The sequence below is a fragment of the Homo sapiens genome, chromosome 11 (assembly GCF_000001405.40).
Source record: "Homo sapiens chromosome 11, GRCh38.p14 Primary Assembly".
NCBI lineage: Eukaryota > Metazoa > Chordata > Mammalia > Primates > Hominidae > Homo > Homo sapiens.
This window is the reverse complement of record NC_000011.10, coordinates 131,965,955-131,990,787: the sequence shown is the minus strand read 5'-3', so window position 1 is coordinate 131,990,787 and position 24,833 is coordinate 131,965,955. Positions and strand designations below refer to the sequence as shown.

Below are 24,833 nucleotides of genomic sequence, written 5' to 3'. Positions count from 1 at the left end.
TCAGACAAAATCCTCCATGCTACATTAGGCTTGATAGCAAATTTTGCACTTGCAAGCTTTTATAAAAACTGTGTATCTGAAATCTTAATAATGCAGGAAGGTGAATTATGTTTTTCTTCTCTCTTCAGGTTTACATCAACAGAATCAGAACTAATTCCTGATTTGAAAGTCAGCAGTTCTAGCAGGATCTATAGGAACATTTTGTTAAGGTTTTGTGTAAGACTGAAGGAACCTGGATTTATAGACACACACACATTATAGACACACACACACACATGCAAACACACACAGACCCACACAAATGCTAAAATGAGAATCTTAATGCTGAAAATCATGATTATACCCATGTACAGTGAGAACTACCTTGAACGTTCAATATTGGTCACCTAAAAGAATATGAAATATTTAAGCGAAAATTTAAAAACAAATTCTCTAGCATCCTCTACTGAACATTTTCATTTTTCATTTTAGTTACTGGCATCATCCACACACTTACATATGCAGCATGGCCACATTATGAAGAGTACTGGATTTCGATTGAGGTTAGGAAGAAAGTCAGATTTAGATTTCAGTTCAAATCTAGAATTTTCCATTTATCAGCTATGAGAGTTGAAAACGTTTAAAAATAATTCCAGCCTTAGGTTTTCTTCTCCATAAAATGTAGTGAATAAAATTTATTCTGCCAAATGTACAGGTTGCTTTTGGGGATCAAAATCAATAAGACTGATTCCTCTACCCCAGTCTCAAAATTCCAGCTACATATAATAACAGTAATAGATGGATGTCTTTATTGTTCCAAATATTTACAACTTCTTGCATGAAAGAATTACATTACTATCCCCACTGACATCAGTTTTGGCCATTTGATTTGCTTGAGCCAATGAAAAAGGAATAGAAATCTCACGTATTACTACAAAACAAAAGCTTTAAGAGCATTCACATGGTTGTACCATTCTTTTCCCTCTGAAGCAAGACTGCATGACCTAAATAGAACCTATTCCTATATGCTTTGGTCCAGTAAGTAAGTGTATGTGTATGTGTTCATGTGTGTGTGTGTGTGTGTGTGTGTGCATGTATCTAAATATGCATGTGTATATAACTCACCTTTGTTGTAAGCTACTGAAATATTGGGAGCATTTGTTATTGCAGTATAATTTAGCCAATCTGACTGATACACATTAGAACCCCTTAACTACTTTTCACTTCGATATCCTGCCAGATTAACTGATGTCATTTCCTCTAAACAACATACCAAAAGCCCATAGTTATTAGGCTAACATTTAGTACATTGGCATTTTTCTGATCCCGCGAGTTAAGTGAATAATTCCTATGAGTTCGTTTCTTTTATGCCATGTATAACTATTACCGCAATATCACATCGTAATTTAATTCTGCAATGAGTAAGTCAAACATGATTAAACACACCAATAAGAACAAACCACTAAATAAATTACTGTTGATTTTTTAAATGATGAAATGTATATGAAAGTGTTTTATAAATTAAAAATTGCTGTTTTGAAATATCAGTTGATACTAATTTGTTAATTAGTATGTTTTTGAGCAGCTACTTTTTGGAAGACATCATGCAGGGGATAACATGAGACATAATAACAAAGAACTATCCTCAAAGGACTTTCAGTCCAGTGTATTTTAAAAAGGAATCAGCAGTAGCATATTTAACGATGTATCTCAGTGATCAAACATAGTACCAATAAATTCTATTGTATCAATTAAAACAAATCAAAATAAAACAAACAAAAACTGGTGCAGAAGGTTATGGACCCACTATAGCTGGATTCAAAGAATCAGGAAGATGATATATCTATTTTATTCAGTTTTTATATATTTTACTTTCTCTGTTTTTCCATTCCAAAATAATATGAGCTCACTACTATAGGCTTAAAATAAAGAAATATAACAGTGTTTTTGGTACTACGTTTTCATCACATAAAGCCTATTTAATGGAGGCTCTTGTTAGAAGCCTTCTAGACAGAGGTCTTTTTGTGTAAGCTCAGCTGCCTACCTAACTGCCTCTGCTGGCCATCAATTCATCAGACCCAGAAAACTGTCAAAATGAAGGCACTGCCTATGGAACCACACATATCAATTTCTCTAGCGAATCTCTGATTTAAATGGATGTGGCAATGTTCATTTTCCCAGCTTGGAGAAAAAACCTGATCTCAGGTAAAAGAAGTGATGACAAAACCCATCAACCTACCTCACCACGTCTACAGCCATCATTCACATGGAATATCCACCACTGCCAGTCACTATGTCACCAGGCCACAAAGGATAGCTCCATTGTAACTTACAAATCCTATATCATGATGGAAGAAAGGAGAGAGAGCAATGCAGTGTCCCCAGGATGCCAGATCAGACCACCAATTCCTCTGACAGTGGAATGGAGTTGGATATCCGTTGTGCAAATGTTCCTTAACAAATCAACTCAGGGAAAGGTTAATATTTAATCAGACAATAACCTTCAATGCTACAGTCTGAATGGTTTTTGTCTCCCAAAAGTTCTATGTTGAAACTTAATGACCAAGGTACTGGTATCTGGAAGCAGGGCTTTTGGGGAATTATTAAGTAATGAGTGTGGAACCCCCATAAGTGGAATTAGTGTCCTTATAAAAGAGCTCCTAGCAAGCTTGCTTGCCCCTTCCACTATGTGAGGACACAGCAAGAAGGCACCATCTGAGGAAATGGACTCTCAACAGACACCAAATCGGATGGTGCCTTGATATTGGACTTCCCAGCCTCCAGACTGTGAGGAATAAATGTTTGTTGTTTATCAGCCACCCAGCCTGGTATTTTGTTACAGCAACCAGATTGGACTAAGGCAACAAACATATGTTCCTTACAGGTAGACAGTGTGCATGAGTCATCTCTGCGTTTCCAGCATTTAGCCCACTGGCTGGCATATAGCACATGCTCAATATTTACTTCCTAAGCAAATGATTGCTAATCTTTGACTGAGTGGCTGACTGTTCAAATGAAGAAAGCCACACATTTGAGTGTTTGGACTTTTTTTCAGCCTCATCATAAAATACAGAGCATTTGGATTATTTGATAGAAGCCTAAGTGAAGTAATATTGCTTGAAATGATGAAAGTTTTATTAAGATTTTCTTTATACTCAATCCATTTTGCAAGGCCTACCTCAAATACTGTCTCCACAATAAAGTATTCTCTAGTCCTCACTTTGTGGTCTAAATCTTCAGTTCTTTTCCTCACCAGGTAATGTGCCTAAAAGCAAAGATCTTCGAAGTCTGTATTGCAATACATTTGTTTACTGCAGAAACAGCTTAATGGGTCAAATTTTGAAAGATAAAAGTGATGGGATGGGCTGGAATGAAAATAGAATAGAATAGAATAGAATAGAATAGAATAGAATAGAATAGAATAGAATAGGAGGAATAGGACAGAATAACATGTTTTGCAAATAGCTAAATCTTAAATAATTCCAGTCTGTGTGGGAGTGTGCATGTGTGTACTTGTCTGGAGTGTGTTCCAGTTAAAATATGCTTATTTCTAAGGATTAGTATGAACAACTTTGCAAATAATTGGCACAGGTACTAAAGCCAGACAGACCTGATGAATACTGTTTCCACCACTTGCTAGTTATACAACTTTAGACAAATAACTGCCTTTTAGTGCATCAGTTTCCTCATTAGTAATATGGGACATTTACCACCTGTTTTTAGAACTACCACACTGGTTAAAATAAATGAAATAATGTAAGCAAAATTTGCTTGGAATAAAAGATCCTCAACAACAACCATTTCTCCCTTCTTTCCCCTTTCATCTCTTGGTTAACACTGACACATCATAAATTAACCAATATAATCTTCTTTGCCTAATAATTATGTTGGAGTTGTGTTGGAATTATAATTATGTTGGAATGTGTCAGATTTCCCCCATAAGAATTAAGTTATTTAAGACTAAGGAATAAGGATCATTTTTTTCATTCAATGAATACTTATTGAACCCCCTTTATAGTCAGGCACTCTTCTAGGCAGTGGCAATAGAGCCCTAAATGAAAACTGTAAAAATCTCTGGCCCTCATGGAGGTTATATTCCTAATAAGGAAGGCAAATACAAACCAAATAAATAAGTCACATGCCAGCAGCTAAAGTGTTAAGGAAAATGTTAAAATAGGAGTATAAGATAGAAAGTTCTGGACAGAAGGGGCTGCAATTTTAGATAGGATGGTTACAGCAAGTTTAACTCTGGTGAGTTGTGTATAAATGTGACCCACATATTTCATGACATGATACATGTTTAATTAACTGAAACAATAAAATGAATGTCAGGTAGAAGAAGCAAACGTGATAGTCAAGTATAGAAAAGGAATGGAACAAAAACAGGCCTTCTGTAATCTTTTTCTGTAGTCTGCAAAGTGATTTAAAACCTAGGGAAGGGAAAATTAAGCTTTTGTGCAAAGGATGTTTAAAGGCAGATGTGTTTAAAGAGGATGCAAAATCCAGAACAGCAGATGACTCTCATCCAATCTCTGCTATGCTATTTCATGTGAACAGCCAGCAGAGACATATCCCTAGGGGCTGCATCTTTAGCGGCCAAAGGACCTGTCATGGTTGATGTTTCAACTTTGAAACTGTTTCCAATAGGCCAGATGGGGTTCTTTGAAAGATAGTCTAGGTTTCCTAAGAGATGTTTCTAATTCAAAGAAAAATCAGATCCAAAGAGATCCAGCATAGTTCAATCCAAAACAGGGTCAGATTTCAAAGCTCTCCAATTCAGAGGGGAAATAACTATGAATACTGATTCATTTATTCTGTGTTTATTAAGTGCTTATTGGGTACTTCGGGGCTGCCTAGAGGGCGGAGGGAGGTGAACAGAGCAAACACTCGTGGAACACTCACTATGTGCTGTGTCCTGATGACAGACTCTTTACAGGCCTAATTCAGTCCTCACAACAGTTATATGTGGTGGATATTGTAAGAGAGATTGGTTGCTGCTCACCAAAACTTGTTTTCTCTTCTTCTTGGGCACCCTACTCGATGCCATTTTCCCACCTCTTACAATTACGTGACACTGTGACTGAATTCTACCCAGTGGAATGAGCGTAGGAGTAACATGCACAACTGCCTAATCCCGGGCCCTTCGTAACTTTTTCCTATGACGCCGCGTGCTCTCCCCTTACCCCAGGAAGATGTCAAGACTCGTGGTGATCTTGGAAGTCACAAACTGAGGGTAGGCAACCCCTCCTGATGCACCATTCCCGGATGCCGCCTGAGGCCAAGCCTGACACCCGTGGTTGCCAGTAGCACGGTGTTGCACTGTTGCATGGGCAAAGGATGGAGAGCTGTTGTTACTCCACAGAGACTTGCAGGTTTATTTGTTATAACAACTAATGTGCCCCTAGTTAATTTTGAAAGTGGTACCAAGAGTAGGATTCTGGCATGATTAAATCAAAAATGTGTTCACAGATTGCACTTGGGCAATGGGTGTCAAGAAAACAGAATGAGATAGAAGTCTGTAGACCCTTGTTGTGAAATAGCAAAATGTTTGGTAAAACTGTCCCTTGTGATAACTTCTATGACAAACCAAGTGCCTACTGAACCTGCGGCTCTAGAAGAAATGGATAGAAAGAGCCAAAGCGTTTCTGGGATTGATTACTCCTCTTTGTTTACACCGATGATCACAAGAGATGAGCTCAGAAGAGATGCTCCTATTTTCAAGCAAATGAAGGGGGAGGGAATGAGAGACTGATTTCAGAAATGTTTGAGAACACCAACTCAGTCTGGATCTCAAATGTCAGGAAGAAGATTAAAAAAAATGGTTCTAAGCAGCAAAGGCTCAATATTACTTAACGATTTGACGAAAGGCCTCACCTTCGTGGCAATTATCAAATCAAGGTTTTTACCTTCCTTTCCACGCCCTTTCTTTCAGAGTATCCCAATGTATCCACATTAAGAGAAGAAAAAGGGCACAGTAACACAAAAAGAAAGCAATAATGTAGGTCTATGAGTTATATCTATTTATATTTTTTATTTTTTTTCATGTGGCAAATGGATCTGCCTGAAAATAAATAGGGAAGAAGCTTATGATACTTTTGACAGTTTTTGTGTAGCTGAAAAACTATGATTTTCCTTTAAAAGAGCCTGGAACTGTAAACCAACTGCCAAACACCCCAACATGCACTCACAGCAAATGGGCTAGATAATTCATTCAGCCCCCAAGTAGGGCGTACTCCACAATGACCACTTCAGATGTGGCCATGGAGGATGCTGAACAAAGAAGAACTATCCAGTGTGTGACGCCAGGGAGCCACCACTAACAATAGGTAAGAAATCTCCTCCTGGAGAACAGAATCAGAGTATAGATAAGAAGCTTCTCCACTGCCGGGGCAAAAATATCACCCATGAACCAGTAACTGCTGTGTATCTTCAATGCTTCCATTTTCCAAATAAGGTGTTTTACTGTGATAATCCCATCTTGCTACCCCATTTAAAAGGACTTTGGAATAAGGGGTGGCAATCTTTTCAGTTATACGTCAGTGATCCATAAACAGCCATGGCTGATCATGAAGAAAAAGGAGTAAATACCACCAGGTGAACTCGGACTTTGAGCTGAATGCAGTAATTGAATTGGATTTTGAGTAGTCTACCTTGGGGCTGTGTATTCTGAGTATGTGAAGAAGGGTACAAATGGATATTTACTTAAATGCCTACTGTAGCTATGATTGCTACCTGTACACCAAAATCTGTGTCTATTTTTTCTTGGCATTAATTAGGTTACATTCCTTTTCTTTGGCTCTACAGGCAGGTAGATCAAGTAATTTCATTCTAGCCAAAAGAATGTGAAAAAGTGATATATACCATATGACATTTAACAATCTCCCTTATGTATTCTTCTATATTCTGTCCTCTTCCTTTGGCTGGAAGCTAATGCTCAGGGAACTTTGGACGTCATGTGTTCAAGATGGCAGAGCCTTGGTTAGCCTGGATCCCTGAGTGACTACATGGAGCAGAGCCTCTCTCCTCAACAACAATCAGAAACATTCATTGTAGATTGTTGAGTGAGCAAGTCATAAATTTATATTGAGTCAACTCAGAGAATTTTATTTATATAATAGAAGATACAATATTATAGCCAGTCGTGGTGGCTCATGCCTGTAATACCAGCACTTTGGGAGGCCGAGGCAGGCAGATTACCTGAGGTCAGGAGTTCAAGACTAGCCCAGCCAACGTGGTGAAACCCCATCTCTAATAAAAATAAAAAAATTAGCTGGGTGTGGTAGCAGATGCCTGGAATCCCAGCTACTTGGGAGGCTGATGTAGGAGAATCGCTTGAACCCGGGAGGCAGAGGTTGCAGTGAGCCAAGATCACACCACTGCACTCTGGCCTAGGAGACAGAGCGAGACTCCATCTCAAAAAAAAAAAAAAAAAAAGATACAATTTTATACTCTCCATTTTAGAGAGGTGAAAAATGAGGTTTGTTATGTTTTTATTTTTAATAATTTACACAATTTAGAGAGGTTGGACTCAACCCTGTGTCTCCCCAACTCCAGCATCTCTTTTTGTGATGCCACAAATGCCACATTATCATTTGAGGATTGAAGGTACAATACAGGTTATTGAAAATGGGATCTACTGAGGTCAAGATAAACCAACCAATCTTTTCCTACTTTCAGATATTAGGCAGATTTGCTTTTGCCTCTTCTTTAGACAATGGGTGTTCTTCCATGTAGTATGACTAAAAAAAAAAAAAAATCATTTTCCTTTGAGTAGCTAAGGAAGCAGCCAGTAGTGTGTGAAGAAACTGAATCTGGGCATGCCCTGCAAGCTAATGAAATGACCCCTCCTCTCCCCAACTGCTGATTCCACTGGGATTCTTTAGGTAAATGAAAATCATAAGCCATTTGATCCTGAAAGTTTTTCTGCAGAAAGGCAAGACCAGGTCCTTTCTTTGTGTTAAATCTTGCCTTGATTAAATTGGCTTTTTTTCTTATCAAATTTCCAAAGCTCTGAGTTACTAACAAGGAAAGGTTTTAATAGGGTCCTAGATTTTAAAGCCAGTGGGCACCACAGCCTGAGTCCTTTATGACGTGTAATGAATAAAACAACCTAAATCACTGCTTTTTAAAGTTGTCTGTTTAAGAATTACAATAATTTTTCCCTTTATTCCACCCTGCCCCCCCTTTCATTTTATGTGTCTCCAGTGACACTTGCTTTAAAGGGCACATACACGGGACAGACCCAGAAACTCTGCTTTCCATAGGGGAGCACCCTGGCTGGAAGAAGCCAGAAGCCCCTCTCCCAGCTGCTCCTGAACTTTCAGGAGCAGCTGTGTCTGTTCCATGACCCTCCTTGTTTCCTCATCCCACCTCTCGTGTCTCTCCATTCCTGCCATCGCTGTCCCTTTCCCTTCTCCAGCTCCTTTCATCCTTGTTCTTGCCCCTTCTTTCTCTTTACATTCTTGCATTCCCTATGCCTTCTCTTGATCTTCGTAACAAAGAAACCCCACACTGGGGAGGGTTGCAAACTCTACTCCAATCAGGGCAAGTTCCTGTGCACAAAACAAACAAAAAGGAGCCTCCCTTCCCATGAGAACAGTGTGTTGCTGCCTCCAAGTCCCCCCTCCCTCCACCCCAGTATGTTTCTCATAGACTTTTCCCCTTGGGCAGATGGGCAACCTAGGAGATAATTTCAAACTGCACGGTTTCTTTTTTTTTCCTTTTAGTGTTTTTTGTTGTGTTGTTTTCTGTGGGTTTTTTTGTTTGCTTGTTTTCTCTCCTTTTCTTTTTTATTTTTGAGATGGAGTCCCGCTCTGTCACCCAGGCTGGAGTGCAGTGGTGCAATCTTGGCTCACTGCAACTTCCGCCTCCCAGGTTCAAGCAATTATCCTGCCTCAGCGTCCCAAGTAGCTGGGATTACAGGCACCTGACACCACGCCCAGCTAATGTTTGTATTTTTTAGTAGAGATGGGGTTTCGCCATGTTGACCACGCTGGTCTTGAACTCCTGACCTCAGGTGCTCCACCTGCCTCAGCCTCCCAATGTGCTGGGATTACAGGCATAAGCCACCGCACCAGGCCTGTTTTCTCTCCTTTCAAGGGCCCAAGAGCACATGCAAGGTTATCTGAATTGAACTACAATTTTCAAATTCTGCCCTAGCACAGAAATATTGGATATTGTAACAAGAGAGAAAATGATAAGACGATGTGTGTCCCCTACAGTCCTCTCTTGCCACAGACACACTACAGAGGTGTCTGGGAACACAGAGTAAGCAGAACGTTTCCATAAAAGTGCTTTATTTTAATCACTTAACAGCTTCATGCCAATGAATCATCCCTCAGTTGAGGACGACGTGCCTGCAGAGATTCATCAAGACTGCTCCAGCTCGTGATTGGAAAGGGAGAGAAAGAAATGCTGGGACATCCAGCTGTCACACAGCTAACCGGAAAGCCATGTGGTCAAACAGAGGCACATTGGAGCTCTTAGGTGGAAAAATGGGTGCCCACTTAAAAGCTACACAACCTGGAACACGGTGTCAGGACACTTTAATTCTTTCTCCTCCTGTCCTCATCTGGTAGCCTCATGCAATTCAGAGGAAACACAAAGCGGAGCATTCCCAAAGGGCTCACATTGTTTGGGATTTGTCCACGTTGACTCTTCAGGCTGCAGTTGCATTTGCTGGATACCTGCTATGTGCCAAATCTCATCTCCCTCCCTTCCATCAAAACAAACAAATCCCAATAGGGAGTAGTGAGGTTATAAAAGGATTACCTCATTTAAACTTATTATAAACACACATACACACACCCCACAGGTCCCAACTGCAGAACTATTAAATCAACTTGAAGTAATGACAGGTGGATAGGCAGATGGAACAAAGTACTTCCCATAAACATAGAGTCGGATTTGAACCCCTATCGCACAGCCAGGCAGGGGCTACTCACAAAGTTAACTCTCATTCCTCTTTGCCCTCATTACTCCCCATAACTTGCTCATCTTTCTGTTGTAGAATTGGTCACTCCGGATTGTACTTATTTGTTTAACTTCCTTTCTATCACCACACTGAGCATCTTAAGGGCCACATCAAAGCTTTTTCTATCAGTACACCCAGAGCTCAGCACAGCATTGGCACACTGTATGTGCTCAATAAATGCTTATGAATGAAAGAATATATGAATTAGTGGGGTAGACTCTCACTTGTTTTTGAAAGTGTGGTGAAAACTCACTCTATTTCTATGTACAACACTGCAAAATTCAGGTAATTGTTCATTTATTTTAGAATTCCTTAAGAAAATTCAATAAGTAAGCCATAATGAAATAATTTGGGGAATTTAAGAGATCAGTAGAGATCATTAAATTCAGTTTCCTGTCTTTAATTAAATTTTCCATTTCCAAGTGGGTGTTTGGCAAATACACATGGGTTTTATCTAGCAGGACCAATGGGATAATCACAACCAGGTTGAATTCTATTGGGCAATAAAAATTCAGCATCAATGGGGCTCTGTGGGGAGAAAATAAATCGGCCTTATTCTGAATATACCAGACATCATTTTGCTGAAAGCCGACTTAATGTTTCATATCTGGCTACCAATCCGGGAAAAATGACCAATTCCTATTCCAGAAACATGGGTGGAAGTAAATCAAGAATTCAAATAGTTAGTGATACCTTGAATTTTCCTTTGACATCCATTCCCTTCACTTCCCTACAGTTCTCATTCCTCTTTAATTACTCTTAAAATTGTAATCCATTTAGTTTCAAAACAGCAAGGAATCGTTGTGCATCTACAAGGTGCAGTTGGAACCTGACTCAGTTTACTCAGCAGCAATAATGTTATAAAGCCACCTTTCTATCACCTACCTGCCTATCTATATTAATTAATATGTGCAAAGAGCAAGGAGCTCCCTATAGAGAATGGCCCTACATATTCACAAAGGGCTATTATCATTAATTGCCAGTTAGTAATTAGATGTCACTAGTTCCATTATCATATCCATAGACTTGTGAATGCTTAAGCCATAATGTTGCCATTTCAAGTGTTGTCAAATGTGGATGTCAAATGTCTTTCAATGTCATGTCCTCTTTGGGGCAGGGAGAATGACATTGTAGTACCGCCTTTTGGGCAATTTTGAGTTAATAGTGAGGCAAGTGGCTCTCAAACAGCTTCAAACAATAACCCCTTATTGGATTACCAGACAATGAATTAATGGCCACTAAGAGACTGGCAGATCATATCTTAATTAAGCCCAGGCAGTTGAGAAGGCTCTGTGACTCCTTTTAATTGCATTTCCATAGCTCACATGGGCTGTACTTCACTTTGGCCAGAGGTTTGCCCAATTTTTGAATGCCAACATAGCAAAGCATCTTAAATCATCACTAAATGTTGCGAATGTAAACTAGTTTATCTAAACCTCAAGAAATTACTACGCCAATTGTTAATAATGCTATCACACACTTCTTTAGTTTAAATATCTAAGATCTAAAAATTGGACAGCTTTATCCTCTTCCACTCAGCAGGGAGATGGATTGATTTTTTTCTTTTAGCACCAAGCAAGCCGACCAGGGCACTGAAGGAAGGATTATACTAGAGTTTGACTGGGTAACCTTGACTTTCTGTGTTTCAGTGTATAGCATCAAAAGAATAGAACATGACTGCTCCCTGCCCACAGACATGTGGAAATATTAAAGAAAATATGTTTGAAAATCCCCTTAGCTTCATGGATTCAAGAATCCTATGTCTGGTTCCTAACTTTGCTTCCAAGTATGTACCCAAGAGCGAGCGATTTACATGCTCTCGGAGGCTCTGTACCCTCACTTAAAAAACAAGGGAGTTAGACTGGAACCCAGACAAGAGTTTTGTTTTCTAAACTGCATCCTAGGGGACTTATCTGCCACAGAATGTTAATACGTGTTTCTGATAAAAGGGTTTCCCGGTCAGGTACATTCAAGTATGCAGGTGAAAAACCAGGTTAAACATAGGTTAATGCATTTCAAATCTGAAGTTTTACTCTCACAGCCTTCAATGTGCTAATGTAATTCTCCAAACTCTGGGTTGTGCAAGCAATATTTAACAAACTTATTAAACTAAGGAAACGTATTTTGGTAGAGGATGCATGGTTCTAGTGTGGGAACTAATATTAGGAATCACTGAGTTCTGATAGTGTTCCATAGAGCCTTAGGTTACTGCTGCGGGAGCCTCGGGAACAGTCATAGGCAATAGGGAAGAGACTCTAGAGCCTTAGGTTACTGCTGCAGGAGCCTCGGGAACAGTCATAGGAAATAGGGAAGAGACTCCAACCTCATCAGCCCCTTAGCCAGAGCAGGTCTACTGTTTTTTTTCTTCTGACTTTGTTTGCTTTAATTTCTTAATAATGAGTAAGATTTGTTCAAAAGAATAGGTGCTCTGACCCGAATAATTTGAAATCCACCAGACTAGGTGTTCTAAAATCCCCTCCATTGCCAACATCCCTGAGTCTATTACTGTTTTAAAGAAAAATATGTAATAAAATAAAACATGCATAAAATTAGCTTTCATAAGTTCTCTAAATTCAATTTGTGATGGTTTTATTCCAGGCTTTCTAGCCAATGCTATTGTTCCATCCATTGTCAATTTGCACTTCACACTCGAGGGTATGAAATATACCTTTAGTTTTGAAGCAGCCTTTTTATCTCACTGAATAGATGATATGCGCTCTCATTCTCAGCATTCCAGAAGGTACAGCTCAGCTCATCTGACTTCATGTGGCTCCCTTCTCTCCTGACCACAGAGCCTTCTTCTGACCATGAAGAATTTTTGCAGAAGGGCGTCCCCCTTGGACATAACTCCAGGTGCTTGCACTGCCATCCTTCCTGACTTGGTAATTAATCTGGGCAACTTTCTTTTTCTCTTCAGCTCATAATTGATTTTCTCCATAAATTATTTTGGGCTGTTTTTGCATATCAAAGGCCACATAAAGAGTCATTGTACTGAGCTGTTAATGGGTCCCTGAGAATGGAGACTTGTTTCCCTTTTTTTTCCTTTTCTTCGAGAAACTCACATTGCATTGGGTTACAAAGGTTTCTCCTTCAGATCTTAATTGGACATCAGAATTTACAGTATCTAGTCAAAAAGAACAAAATCACCTCTTTCTGACTTTAATCTACAATCCTAGCCCTTACCAGCTATATTTACGTAAGCCTTTAACCATGTCACACAAATGAAATGTTCAAGTGGCTTTATACATTCAGGATTAGGAGTAAATTAGTCAATGAGCTGGCAAGACCTTAAGACCAAAATCCTTTTTTTCCTTTATGTGAGGAAAGCAATTGCTCATGAATGCTGTAACTTCTATTGCCTAGGGCTGAGGAAGAGGTATGCGCCTGAGTGATTGGTGGAGCCCAGTGTGAAGACAGTTAAAACATACAGAGCTATTTGGCATGGGCAGAATAGCCTTGCATGACATACACCAGCTCATTGTTTTCACAATAGGAAGAGCAGACGCTCTTGGGAAATTTGGCAGTACAACACGTGGGGTGACAGCACACAGCACTGAAGGCATATAATGTAAAAACTGTTACGCGTAGTCGCTTTTTGTTTTCCTTCCATTAAAAATGCAGCGAACTATCTTACCATTCCCCAACTTTACCAAATGGCACTGGTGAGTGGGGTAGCAGAGATCAATCCATGCATTTCTGAAGGGATGGGTTCCTCAGTGTGTGATAAGCCAAATATATTTGATTTCCAATATGCATGTATGCATAGAAAGCTTCCAATGGATGGTGCTGACATTTATCTTCAGCATCTAGGACTGGTGGGGCTGGTCACCCCTGTGCTCATGAGTGAAAGTAAATGTCAGGAAAGATTAGTGGTCATGTACTACCCACACACACCGATATTTTTCATTCTCTGTGTATTCCTCATGCTGCTCTTCATTTAGGGAACAGTTGTGAGAAATTAAATGTACCTGTGCTCCGGAGGGAGCAGAATTATGGAAATGAGGGCTGTGTTATCATGTAGCACTTTCGCTGAGATGCTTTTCAAAGCAAAATACTACTCACCCTCTTGTTTTCTTCTGCAAATTAGAAACAGAGGCCTGAAGAAGACTTTGTATTCTTGAGTCTGTCCGTGACCTATGGATCTCAGAACTCCAGAGAGCATCCTGGACATTTTATTTTTACTATTAATTGGATCCATTCATTTGTGATTTCAGTTATGACTGAACTGGGGTGAAAGAGGGTGGAGAGGAAGAACTGACACTGAAACATTCTTCTAAATTATCTGTGTGTTGAACAGTGTGCCCATCTCCTATAGTTAAAAAAGACAAAAGGAAGGAAGAATGAAAGAAAACATGAATCTATTCAACAACTCCTTATGATTGAAAGTGGGAAGAGAACGTTGAAAATTCATCCAAGGTAAAAGGCAACTGAGAAGGAAGAGTCAAGTGACAGCAGTCCATAAACCATACTGTCCCCGACCTGGCCAACTGGTGGCCAAGGCAAAACAGGAGCAAGAATAATCAGAACAACCCATCTCCTGTACTCACCCATGCTCGGGTATAAGCTTCCCCTTTGTGCTCTTATCACCTCTCTTTTCATCGCTTGGACTTCATCCCATTAAGCTTATTGAAAGCTGAGTTAAACTGAAGAAGAAAGGAAGAAAGGAAGGAAGGAAGAAAGGAAGGAAGGAAGGAAGGAAGGAAGGAAGGAAGGAAGGAATGAGGGAGGGAGGGAGGGAAGGAGGGAAGGAAGGACCATCAAACTGCACCAATCACAGATTTAAAATGCATTCAAAGGCCACTGGGTTCTTTTTGAGCAGGTAACAAGACCCCAGGGAGGGCAGGTTAGGCCTAAGGACATCTCTCTTCTGATGCCAGAGCTGCTTGGTTCTGCCAACAGACTCCAGAGTTGAGTTAATCATATCTCGGATCCTGCACAGAGCACAACACAAAGCTCTCCAGAATAAATGACAGGAAATCCTGGGCAGAATGTTTTCCCTTTCCTGATGACCAGAGATTGAAATTCCACTCCAGAAATCCTCTCCTCTCATGACCCTCTTCCTTTCAAGTGGAAGAGCGGTAAGCTGAGGACTCTCGAATCCAACCCATCTATGTCATCACAGGAAGGAAACCGTGGAGAAAAGACATTTACACCAACTCAGGCAGAAAAGGCACAAAACAAACACACCGTTAAATAGGGTGGCAAGCAACCCAAACACATCTGATGACAAATTCATTCACGTAGGCCCTTATTTAAGCTTTTATTGGGGTTTTGTTTGGAGGTTTTTTTTCCCCCCTCCCCTAACATTTTAAGGCTTATAAATCTAGAAGACTAGGCTTTCCATTGAAGGCAAGATTCGGCCAGGCGCAGTGGCTCACGCCTGTAATCCCAGCACTTTGGGAGGCCAAGGCAGGTGGATCATGAGGTGAAGAGATAGAGACCAGCCTGGCCAACATGGTGAAACCCTATCTCTACTAAAAATACAAAAATTAGCTGGGCATGGTGGCGTGCACCTGTAGTCCTGTTACTTGGGAGGCTGAGGCAGAAGAATTGCTTGAACCCGGGAGGCAGAGGTTGAAGTGAGCTGAGATTGCTCAACTGCACTCCAGACTGGTGACAGAGCAAGACTCTGTCTCAAAAAAAAAGAAGGCAAGATTCTTATTTTGGTCCCACTTGTTACCTGAAAAGGCAAAAAATAAGAAGAAAGAAAAACAAGGAAACTAGGCAGTTATATTACTGTACCTGAATATTTTTTAAGGCACAAGATAGGTCAGATTGCATTGTCTGAAGAACTCCACTAAGAAAAGAAAACTCACTTGTCAATGCAGGGAGATCTACTGAAGGTTTTTGCAAACTATTAATAAATGGAGTGGAGGCTCGCAGAAGGACACGATATAGGCATAATTTAGGACATTTGTGATATGTTTTAGCCTTTTCAAAAGTTTAGACTATTCCAGTCTCTGTCTTATTTCCCCCTCTAAATTTGAAAGTTTTGTAGGTCAGACTGTAAAAACACTAGGACCTAATAATTATGCAGTGCTAAGTATGTGCCAAGCCTTGCACATATGTTATCTCACTAAATTTTCACAATAACTCTATGAGAAAAAAAAATATTTTTCAAGTGAAAAGACTAAGGCAAAGAGCATTTTAGTGACTTACCCAAGGTCATGTTTTTTATAAATGCCAGGGTCAAAATTTGAACCCAGGCAGTCAGATCCAAGAGCCCATGCTTACATCTTCTAATCTCTTTTCACATTACACGTATCTTTTGTGCACCTCTCAGACGTTATGCTATGCTCACAGAAGATGCTAACTCACTATGTGTTGAACTCATTAACATGAGAGCAAAGAGGTATAAGTTCACATGTAGATTATAAATATGCAAATGCTCATCACTGTTCAAATTGTCTATAGGACAAATATTCTGAGGTGCTAAGGAAAATGCAAAAGGACTCCTATCTTAAAAAAAGCTAGCCTAAATGCATTTTGGGTAAGGAATAAGTTATCACAGACACAATTTTAACACAATTCATTCATTCATTCATTCATTTGAACACAGATGTTCCTTGAACAACTCAGGAGTTAGGGTTCCAAGCCCCCATATAGTTGAAAATCTGGATATAACTTTTGACACCCCACAAAATTAATGACTAACAGCCTGCTGTTGAACAGATGCCTTACTGATAACACAGTCAATTAACACATATTTTGTATGTTACATGTATTACATACTGTATTATTAAAATAAAGTAAGCTAGAGAAAAGAAAATGTTATTAAGAAAATAACAAGAAAGAAAAAATATATGTACTACTCATGAAGTGGAAGTGAATCATCTGAAAGGTCTTCGTCCTCACCATCTCCAGCTGGAGTAGGCTGAGGAGTTGGTCTTCCAGCCTCAGGGGTGGCACAGGCAGAAGAAAATCTGCATATGAGTGAACCACACAGTCCAAGCCCATGTTGTGCATATTGAATGCCTATGCTGTGCCAGTTACTCTTCTTTTTTCGTTGTTGTTTTTCTCAGACTGAGTCTCACTCTGTCGCCCAGGGTAGAGTGCAGTGGTGCAATCTCGGCTCACTGCAACCTCTGCCTCCCGGGTTCAAGCGATTCTCCTGCCTTGGCCTCCCGAGCAGCTGGGATTACGGGCGCTCACCACCACATCTGGCTAATTTTTGTATTTTTAGTAGAGACGGGGTTTCCCCATGTTGGCCAAGCTGGTCTCGAACTCCTGACCTCAGGTGATCTGCCCACTGTGGCCCAAGGTGCTGGGATTATCGGCATGAGCCACAGCGCCTGGCCTGTGCCAGTTAGTCTTCTAAAAACAAGATGAGAAGAACAAAGCACTCCCCTCCTGCCCTTAGGGATTCACTGTGGAGTGGAGGAACAAGCATGGATGCTTCACATGAGAAGCACTAATAAAGGTTCACCAGTCTTGCCTTGGATGGTGAGGGGCTGAACTATTCCACATGCTGTAAAGTAAGAGCTAAGTGAGAGGCCTCACATTTAGAATTCTAGGCTTTGAAATTCCCAAAAGTCCTGAGTTACCGCTGCAGAATCTTGTGCTCAACTTCCCCCTCTGTATCCTATTGGAAGAACTGGATGCACAAAAAGGATTAGAGGTGATATGACATCTGACTGTGTTTTTTCCACTTCACTTGTGCGCAGTCATCCCTGGTGACATGACTATAGATGGGAACAGAGGAAAAAGGCAGCCCTGATTGGGAGAACACTCTTTAGGGAAAGTGGAGTCATTCTAATACATTTAGAGTTCTTCACAGATCCTAAAGAACGAATCTTTTCTTTACTTAAGTAAACTGTTAAGTACATGTTGTTTATTTTGTTTTTGTTGGTCTGCTTGATTATTTGTTTATCTGCCTGGTTATTGTTGAATTGTTTCTACTTAGTAAGATGGCACAAAGTGATTTAGACATCGCTGAATGAGACACGTTCAAAATGAGAATGCTGACACACAATTCACTCAACAGTGGCCCAAAATCACAGGCTTTCTTTCATTTAAAATTATACATGAGATTGTAAGTGGCACTCTTTTTTATCTTTAAAAACATGTTTATGTTAATACCCTGACACTGCCTCTGTTCCAGGGTGGTTATTGAGAGCCTTATGGAAACCAAGAGAGCCACATTATGCGGGGGTTCCATCAGCACAGATGAACAGAAAAGCAATGTGGAGGCCAAAGCAGAAACACAGAAAAAGAAGCATGTAAATACAGGAACCCAACATATGAAAACAGTAGTCCCTCAAAGCAATGGGAATGACAGACAGTTTAGTAGATGATACTGGAAAACTGGCTCACAACGTGGGAGGAAACAAAGCTATAGCCCTACCTTTTGTTACATTAAGATTATTTTTTATTATGTAAGATAGACTTCATCTTAATTACCTAAATGGAAAAGGCAAAATTATAAAGCTAAAAAAGAAATTATTATTTGTTTTCTTTGAAAATACATATATAATTTATATATATACATGTATGTGTATGTATGTGTTTGGCCAGACACTATTGTAAGTTATTTACACAATTTAACTCATTCAGTTTTAGTAAATCCCTATGAAGAAGGTAACTTTATTTTTATGTATGTATGTATGTATTTATGTATTTATTTGAGTCAGAGTCTTACTCTGTTGCCCAGGCTGAAGTGCAGTGGTGCAATCACAGCTCATTGCAACCTCAAACTCCTAGGCTCAAGGGATCCTCTTGCCTCAGCCTCCCAAGTAGCTAGGACTACAGTTGTGTGCCACCACACCTGGCTAATTTTTTTTTTTTTTTTTTTTTGAGACGGAGTCTCACTCTGTCGCCCAGGCTGGAGTGCAGTGGCGCAATCTCAGCCCACTGCAAGCTCCGCATCCAGGGTTCAGGCCATTCTCCTGCCTCAGCCTCCCAAGCTGGGACTACAGGCGCCCACCACCACACTCGGCTAATTTTTTTTGTATTTTTAGTAGAGACGGGGTTTCACCATGTTAGCGAGGATGGTCTTGATCTCCTGACCTTGTGATCCACCTGCCTCGGCCTTCAAAGTACTGGGATTACAGGCGTGAGCCACTGCGCCCAGCTAATTTTTTTTTTTCTTTTTTTTGTAGAGGTGGGGTCTCAGAATGTTGCTCAAGCTGAGATGGTCATTTTAATATATCAGTTTTACATATAGATAGAAGATTAAGGACCATCACTGAGGTCACATAGCTCAGAGGCAGAGTTAAGATTTGGACCCAGGCAGGTTGGTTCCAGCATATATGCTCTTAATCACTATACCGCAAATGAAGAGCCCCACTGACAAATGGTAAGAGACGACAAAGCAAAATGATACATATCTTCAATATCTACTGACACATATCTTCAATATCTGCAACTGAGAAGTAATTAACATCTTGAATATACCAAGCATTTTTTCCTGAAAATCTACAAGAAAAAGATAGGTGGTTCAATCAAAAAATAGGCCAAAGAATCGGTAATACACATAAGAAAAAGCCGAGAAAGCACACAAATTAAAGAGCTCACACCAGTGACCAGAGAAATGCAAATGAAAATAACAGTGAGGTGTCATTTTACACCCGTGAACATGGTTTTAAAAATGGGAATCAGAGATTAGAGAAAACTAAGTTTTGTTGGAGATGCATGCAGATGGGCACTCTTGCACTCTACTGGCGAGTGTACACTTGTAAATCCATATTGAAAAGCAATATGGCAGCTATTTAGACAATTAAGCCTGTGGAGTCCCATGACCCAGCAAAATCACCGCTGGCTATGAAACTAGGGAAATTTCTCATTGGTTTGTAAAGGGTTGTTTGTCATAGGCTTGTTTGGGTTAGAGGGGAATTGGAAAGACAGCCCTGATAAATCAAATAAATGGATAAATCAGTGACATATGCATACAATGCACCATCACATTTTATAAAGACACATGCACATTTAATGAAATTTATGAAACGCTTTGGTGTGGGAAGCTGTAGCAGAAAGGGACAAGGCATAGAATCAGAGATGAGGGGAAAAATAAGATAACACTTTTGGGGATCAATGATCCCCTTGTCAGGGATGATGATGTGCTATGAACTGAGGAATGTGATTAACTCAACCCTCAGCCACCCTGCATCTGTGGTAAAAATAATGAAGAATAATGAGTGGGATCAGGAATGAAGAATGAGGGGAGAGCCCAGGTATAAGATTGGAATGTATATCATAACTGGCATAAGCCTGGGAATAAAAATGGTCAGATAAGCAGCGAGGCGGAAGTGTTGCTGAATCCCAGAGGCTAGGACCACAGTTTAACTGTACCTGCTGCCTCTGTCTGCAGGTCCTAGGAAGGAATGGGGAGCAGATGTGAACATTCAGCTAGGAATCAGGTGGCCCAATTCGGGAAGGATAAAGTTTCCAGAAGAGGATTAGCAACATTAGGCCTGACAAATGAATGACAGCTCAGTACCAAATCGGAAGGTCCATGTGGAGTTCCAGTTTACCTGGTGCAGAGTGGCAAGAGGTCCCCAAGCCCACTGGCAGGTAGAACATGGAAGCCAAACAGAAAACATACAATCAAATCCCAAGACTAGCACAAGCTGAGTTCAGGTCAACATAGAAAAATTGGAGCCATGATAACTGGCTTTTAACACCATTATTCTTGACCTGGATGCATGAGGACAATTATGATTTGGTTGTGACAGGGTGCAGGTGAAGTTTCTAATTGCATTGCTTTCATTGCCTTTATATAAGAATTATTAGCTGGGTGCAGTGGCTCAAATCTGTAATCTCAGCACATTCTGAGGTCAAGGTAGGAGAATTACTTGGGCCCAGGAGTTCGAGACCAGCATGGCAACACAGTGAGACGTCATGTCCATAAAAAGAAAGTAGCCAGGCATGGTGCTGCGCACTTGTGGTCCCTGCTACTCTGCAGCCTGAGGTGGGAGGATCTCTTGAGTCAGGACGTCAAGGCTGTAGTGAGCCACGATGGTGCCACTGCACTCCAGCCTCGGTGACAGAGCAAGACCCTGTCTCAAAAAATAAAAATAAAAAAATTTATCATCGCTCTTTCTTTATACTAAAATGAAAACATTGAAAAGGGAAGAGGAGCAGGTTGCCTGGGGTTAGAGAGCAGGTTATCATTGTCAAAATTTATAGCTATTCTGTGCAGTACTCAAAATTAGACATAATAAGAGAACTTCAAAGAGATAGATCTGCCGAGAGTCTAAAGTGCTTCTATTCACATCATATGCCACAAAACCCCAAACTATGAAACCCCAACATCTATTATGTGGCTAATCCATAGTGAAAGGCATGGAGGACTCACCCTGCCTCCCCTTGCTCAGTCTCCAAAGCCAACAGATTAAAGGAGCCTGCTCTCTGGAGCTGATGGACAAACAGCATATGTCAAGAAGACACAGTTTTGAGTAATTGCAGAAAAACATGAACAAGTACATATGATTCATACAGAGTACAGCTAAAAGAATGGAGTAGATTCTAGCATAGGAAGAGAAAACACCATCAGAGGTTTTAGGAGAATGTGACCTGTCTTCGATCACCTCCAGCTCTCATGAAGCCCCCACCTGTCATTCACAGAGGCTAGTATTTCTTGGTGCTCACTCAAGAGGAACTGCAGGACACATGAACCCAGGAAAGTAAGCTACTGAGCCTTGAGGAGGAAAGGGGCTCAGAAAGACACCTGGGTAAACTTCTGATTATTCCTGTAATGACTTCAGTCTTTGTACTATTATTCCTTAAGCAGCCTACCATCCAAATGAAAAATAGAATTAGCCCTCTTCTGTTTTTAATCTTGAATTGCACACTAATTGATTTTTAAAAGCCCTGCTACTGTCCTGTATTTGCTCTGTAATAAACTGTGCTTGATTATGGAAGTTTCAGGTATAGAGGTAGCATCCCCTTGCCTACTGACAAATAATCCATAAGGGAGTTCTTAAACACCACTGGCTTTCAGTTGGCCCAAAGTGCAGTAAGAGAAAAAGCCAGTGGGAAAATAGTTGAAATAAGGATCAGGAGAATTAAGGGGGTGGAAGGCTCTTTGTGTTCAGTTGCCTAAAAGCTCTATACGAAATGCATTTCGGGGGAGGATATGTGTGAATTATAAAAGTGAAAAAGGAATTATCACCCCCATGCCTGTTAGATATAAAATATCCCAGCAATAACCCCATAGCTTGAAACGCTGCTACACTTTTACTACAGCACATGAGGGCAGTCCAGAAAGACTCAGAAGGAAAGCACATGGAGTCAGGAAGACAGAAACGCTGATCAGGCAAGATGGGTAATTTCAAGATCAGGCAAGAGACACAGAAATGGGCATCCCTTTGTATCTCCAGATGTGAGCCCCTGAGCCTACTTTTGCTGGGTACGATTGGAAGAAGGGCCGCCACCTGCCACTCTTTAACCTTAATATGTTTAAGAAACAGGTGCTGGGGAGGACGCCAAGTTTAGAGGATCATGAACTGTTCAATGGCAAATTATGGGCCTGAGGATGCACTGGATACCAGGGTCCAGTGTATTCAGTGGCATGGTCCCTCTGTCTCCAGAGAGCAAACACCGTGGAGAAGCAGACCTCCGCTCACAAATTGGTTTGATTCTTGGTTCTGTTTCTCTCTGACATGAGCAAGTCACAGCCTGCTTACGTCTTAGTTTTTTGTTTTTTATTTCCCAGTAAAATATGTAGGGGAGGAGATCCTTATTCACTTTACAAGATCATTGTGAGAGTGCATTGTGATAATTGTATAAAGGTGATTTTAAATTGTACCCATTCTTGTTGGTAAAACACTAGCTAGCACGTGTAGGCACATGGTTTCGCATTTATTTATGTTATTTCTAGCCGATTCCTATATACGGTTGGTATAATGGCAATTATTTAAAAGGTCAAGGGACTTTGGGGAGGAGAAACATTTCCATCTTTCTATCTGAAGGCATTCAGATCTGTTTGTCTCAAAAATTCCCTCTCAGATTCTGAACATGCTGACCAGTTAATGAGAAAAGCAGGCTCCTCACCCTCCACAGTTCAGATAGAAACCAGATTTCTAAAATACTGAAAACCTTGTCTCTATTTCCTTCCCCACTGTTGTCAGCTATGCCCCCAGGAAGCAAAGCATTATCAAGCATTGCCATGCCTCAAGCAGCAAAAAAGAGAGAGAAGAAAACACAAAAACCTTCGTTTCAGGCTTAAATTATGTTTTCTTCTCTATTGATCTGGTGATTGCTGTTTTGAACTGAGTGAAAGGGAAGTTGGTTGTCTTTTCCCTTCTTCCCTTTATCTCTGCCTGCTCCTTGCTCCTCCCTGGCCCATTAAAATGGTCCTGGCTTGGTCCTCATCCCACCTTCATGTGGCTCGGTGCACCAGCCTCCTGTTTGGCCTTCCCAGGGCCAACCTACACATGACCTCAGCGTGGTCTCTGCACAAAACAGGCAAACAAAAAAAAGCATCAATGAAACAAGCCCAGCTGAGACCGTGATATGCCTATCCTCCAAAAGTATATATCAGTTGCCCCCCACTGATCATAAATTAAAGTTTCGAACTGTGGGTATGGCATTTGAGACCACCCACGATGCCTGGACCTCTTCTATTCTCCATCTGATGATCTCTTCTATCTCACAGTCTTAAATACCATGTGTGTGCTGATGACCCCACTCCAGTGTAAATCTCCTACAAGACATCACTCTTCCGTGCCAGCCTCTTTTATATTCACCTGTCCACTTGGCATGTCCGCTTTTATGTCTAACACTCATTTCATCTTAATGTGGACAACATAACTCCTGATCTTTTCCAGCAAACTTGCTTTGCCCACATCATAGCCCATCTTAGATAGTGGCAACTTGGCCAGAAGCCCTGGAATTGCTCTTGACACCTCTCTTTCCCTCACATCCCACATGTAACCCATCAGCAAGTCTTACTGGCTCTTCCTTCTAAAGGTATTCACAATCTGACCCTGGGCACCTTCCTCACCACCATCTGTGAGTGACAACAGCAGCAGCTTCCTATCTGACCACTTGCCACCATGTCTGTCCTCACACAGAGGCCAGCGTCCCATTTTAGAACACATTCCATTCTACCCCTACCCTGCTCAAAGCCATCCACTGGGTCCTGTTTCTGTCATGGTGAGAGGGTCCCTGAGACCTGACCTGATCGAGACTGCTGTCACCTCTCCAACTACTTACCTGACACCACACTCTGCATCCCAGCCACCCCTGCCCATGGACACTCCAGGTCCACTTCTGTCTTCAGGTTTTTACATAGCCTGTCCCTTCTGCCTGGAATTTATTTCCTAGGAAAATGCGTTAATCATTCCTTCACCTCTTTCAAGATATTGCTAAACATCGCCTCCATAATGGTTAACCTAAATATACTATTTGGACTTGTCCCTGTATCTCTTGTTCAACTATTCTGCTTTTTTCCCCTACCCAATAGCATGTGTCACCTTTTGCATACTGTAGACTTTATTCATGTATTATGTTTATTGTCTGTCTCTTTTCACTAGAATGTAAGCTCTGTGAGGGAAAGTGTATTTGTTGGTTTTGTTCACTGATGTATCCTAGGCTCCTTTAGCAGTGCCTATTCATAGCTGTGCCTTTACTGCAACTCTTAGTTTATTCTGCCTCGGTAAATATTTGTTGAATGAATGAATGAATCAGGATCCATTCTGTTTCAGCAAACTCATCTCCCACTATTTTCTTCCAACTAGACTCTGGCTAGAGTGAATTTTTGTCATTTTTTTATCACACAAATGCAAACTCTATATTGATTATGCTATTAACTCACCCTCGAGTGTTCTTCATCCTACCATCACCCCCAGAAAAATGCAATTTGTTTTTCTGGATTCAGCACAAATACCATTCCTCCCTTCCCTCTCATGTTTCCTTTCCTTCCCCCTTCCCTCCCTCCCTC

The 24,833-nt window shown here is 40.8% G+C and overlaps 1 protein-coding gene across 41 annotated transcripts in view, besides 2 other annotated features; it reads right to left on the bottom strand.

Annotated features, from left to right (window-relative positions):
• Nucleotides 1–24,833, bottom strand: part of NTM (neurotrimin) — a 966,208-nt gene that overhangs the window by 346,035 nt on the left and 595,340 nt on the right. The gene's annotated exons all lie outside the window — the stretch shown is intronic.
• Nucleotides 8,676–9,629: an enhancer, noted in NCBI's record as "NANOG-H3K27ac hESC enhancer chr11:131851053-131852006 (GRCh37/hg19 assembly coordinates)". NCBI's record gives its function as "activates a minimal SCP1, AML or CMV promoter by ChIP-STARR-seq in naive H9 embryonic stem cells {active_cell/tissue: H9 hESC(naive)}" and the evidence as "EXISTENCE:reporter gene assay evidence [ECO:0000049][PMID:30033119]".
• Nucleotides 12,851–13,361: an enhancer, noted in NCBI's record as "OCT4-NANOG-H3K27ac hESC enhancer chr11:131847321-131847831 (GRCh37/hg19 assembly coordinates)". NCBI's record gives its function as "activates a minimal SCP1, AML or CMV promoter by ChIP-STARR-seq in primed H9 embryonic stem cells {active_cell/tissue: H9 hESC(primed)}" and the evidence as "EXISTENCE:reporter gene assay evidence [ECO:0000049][PMID:30033119]".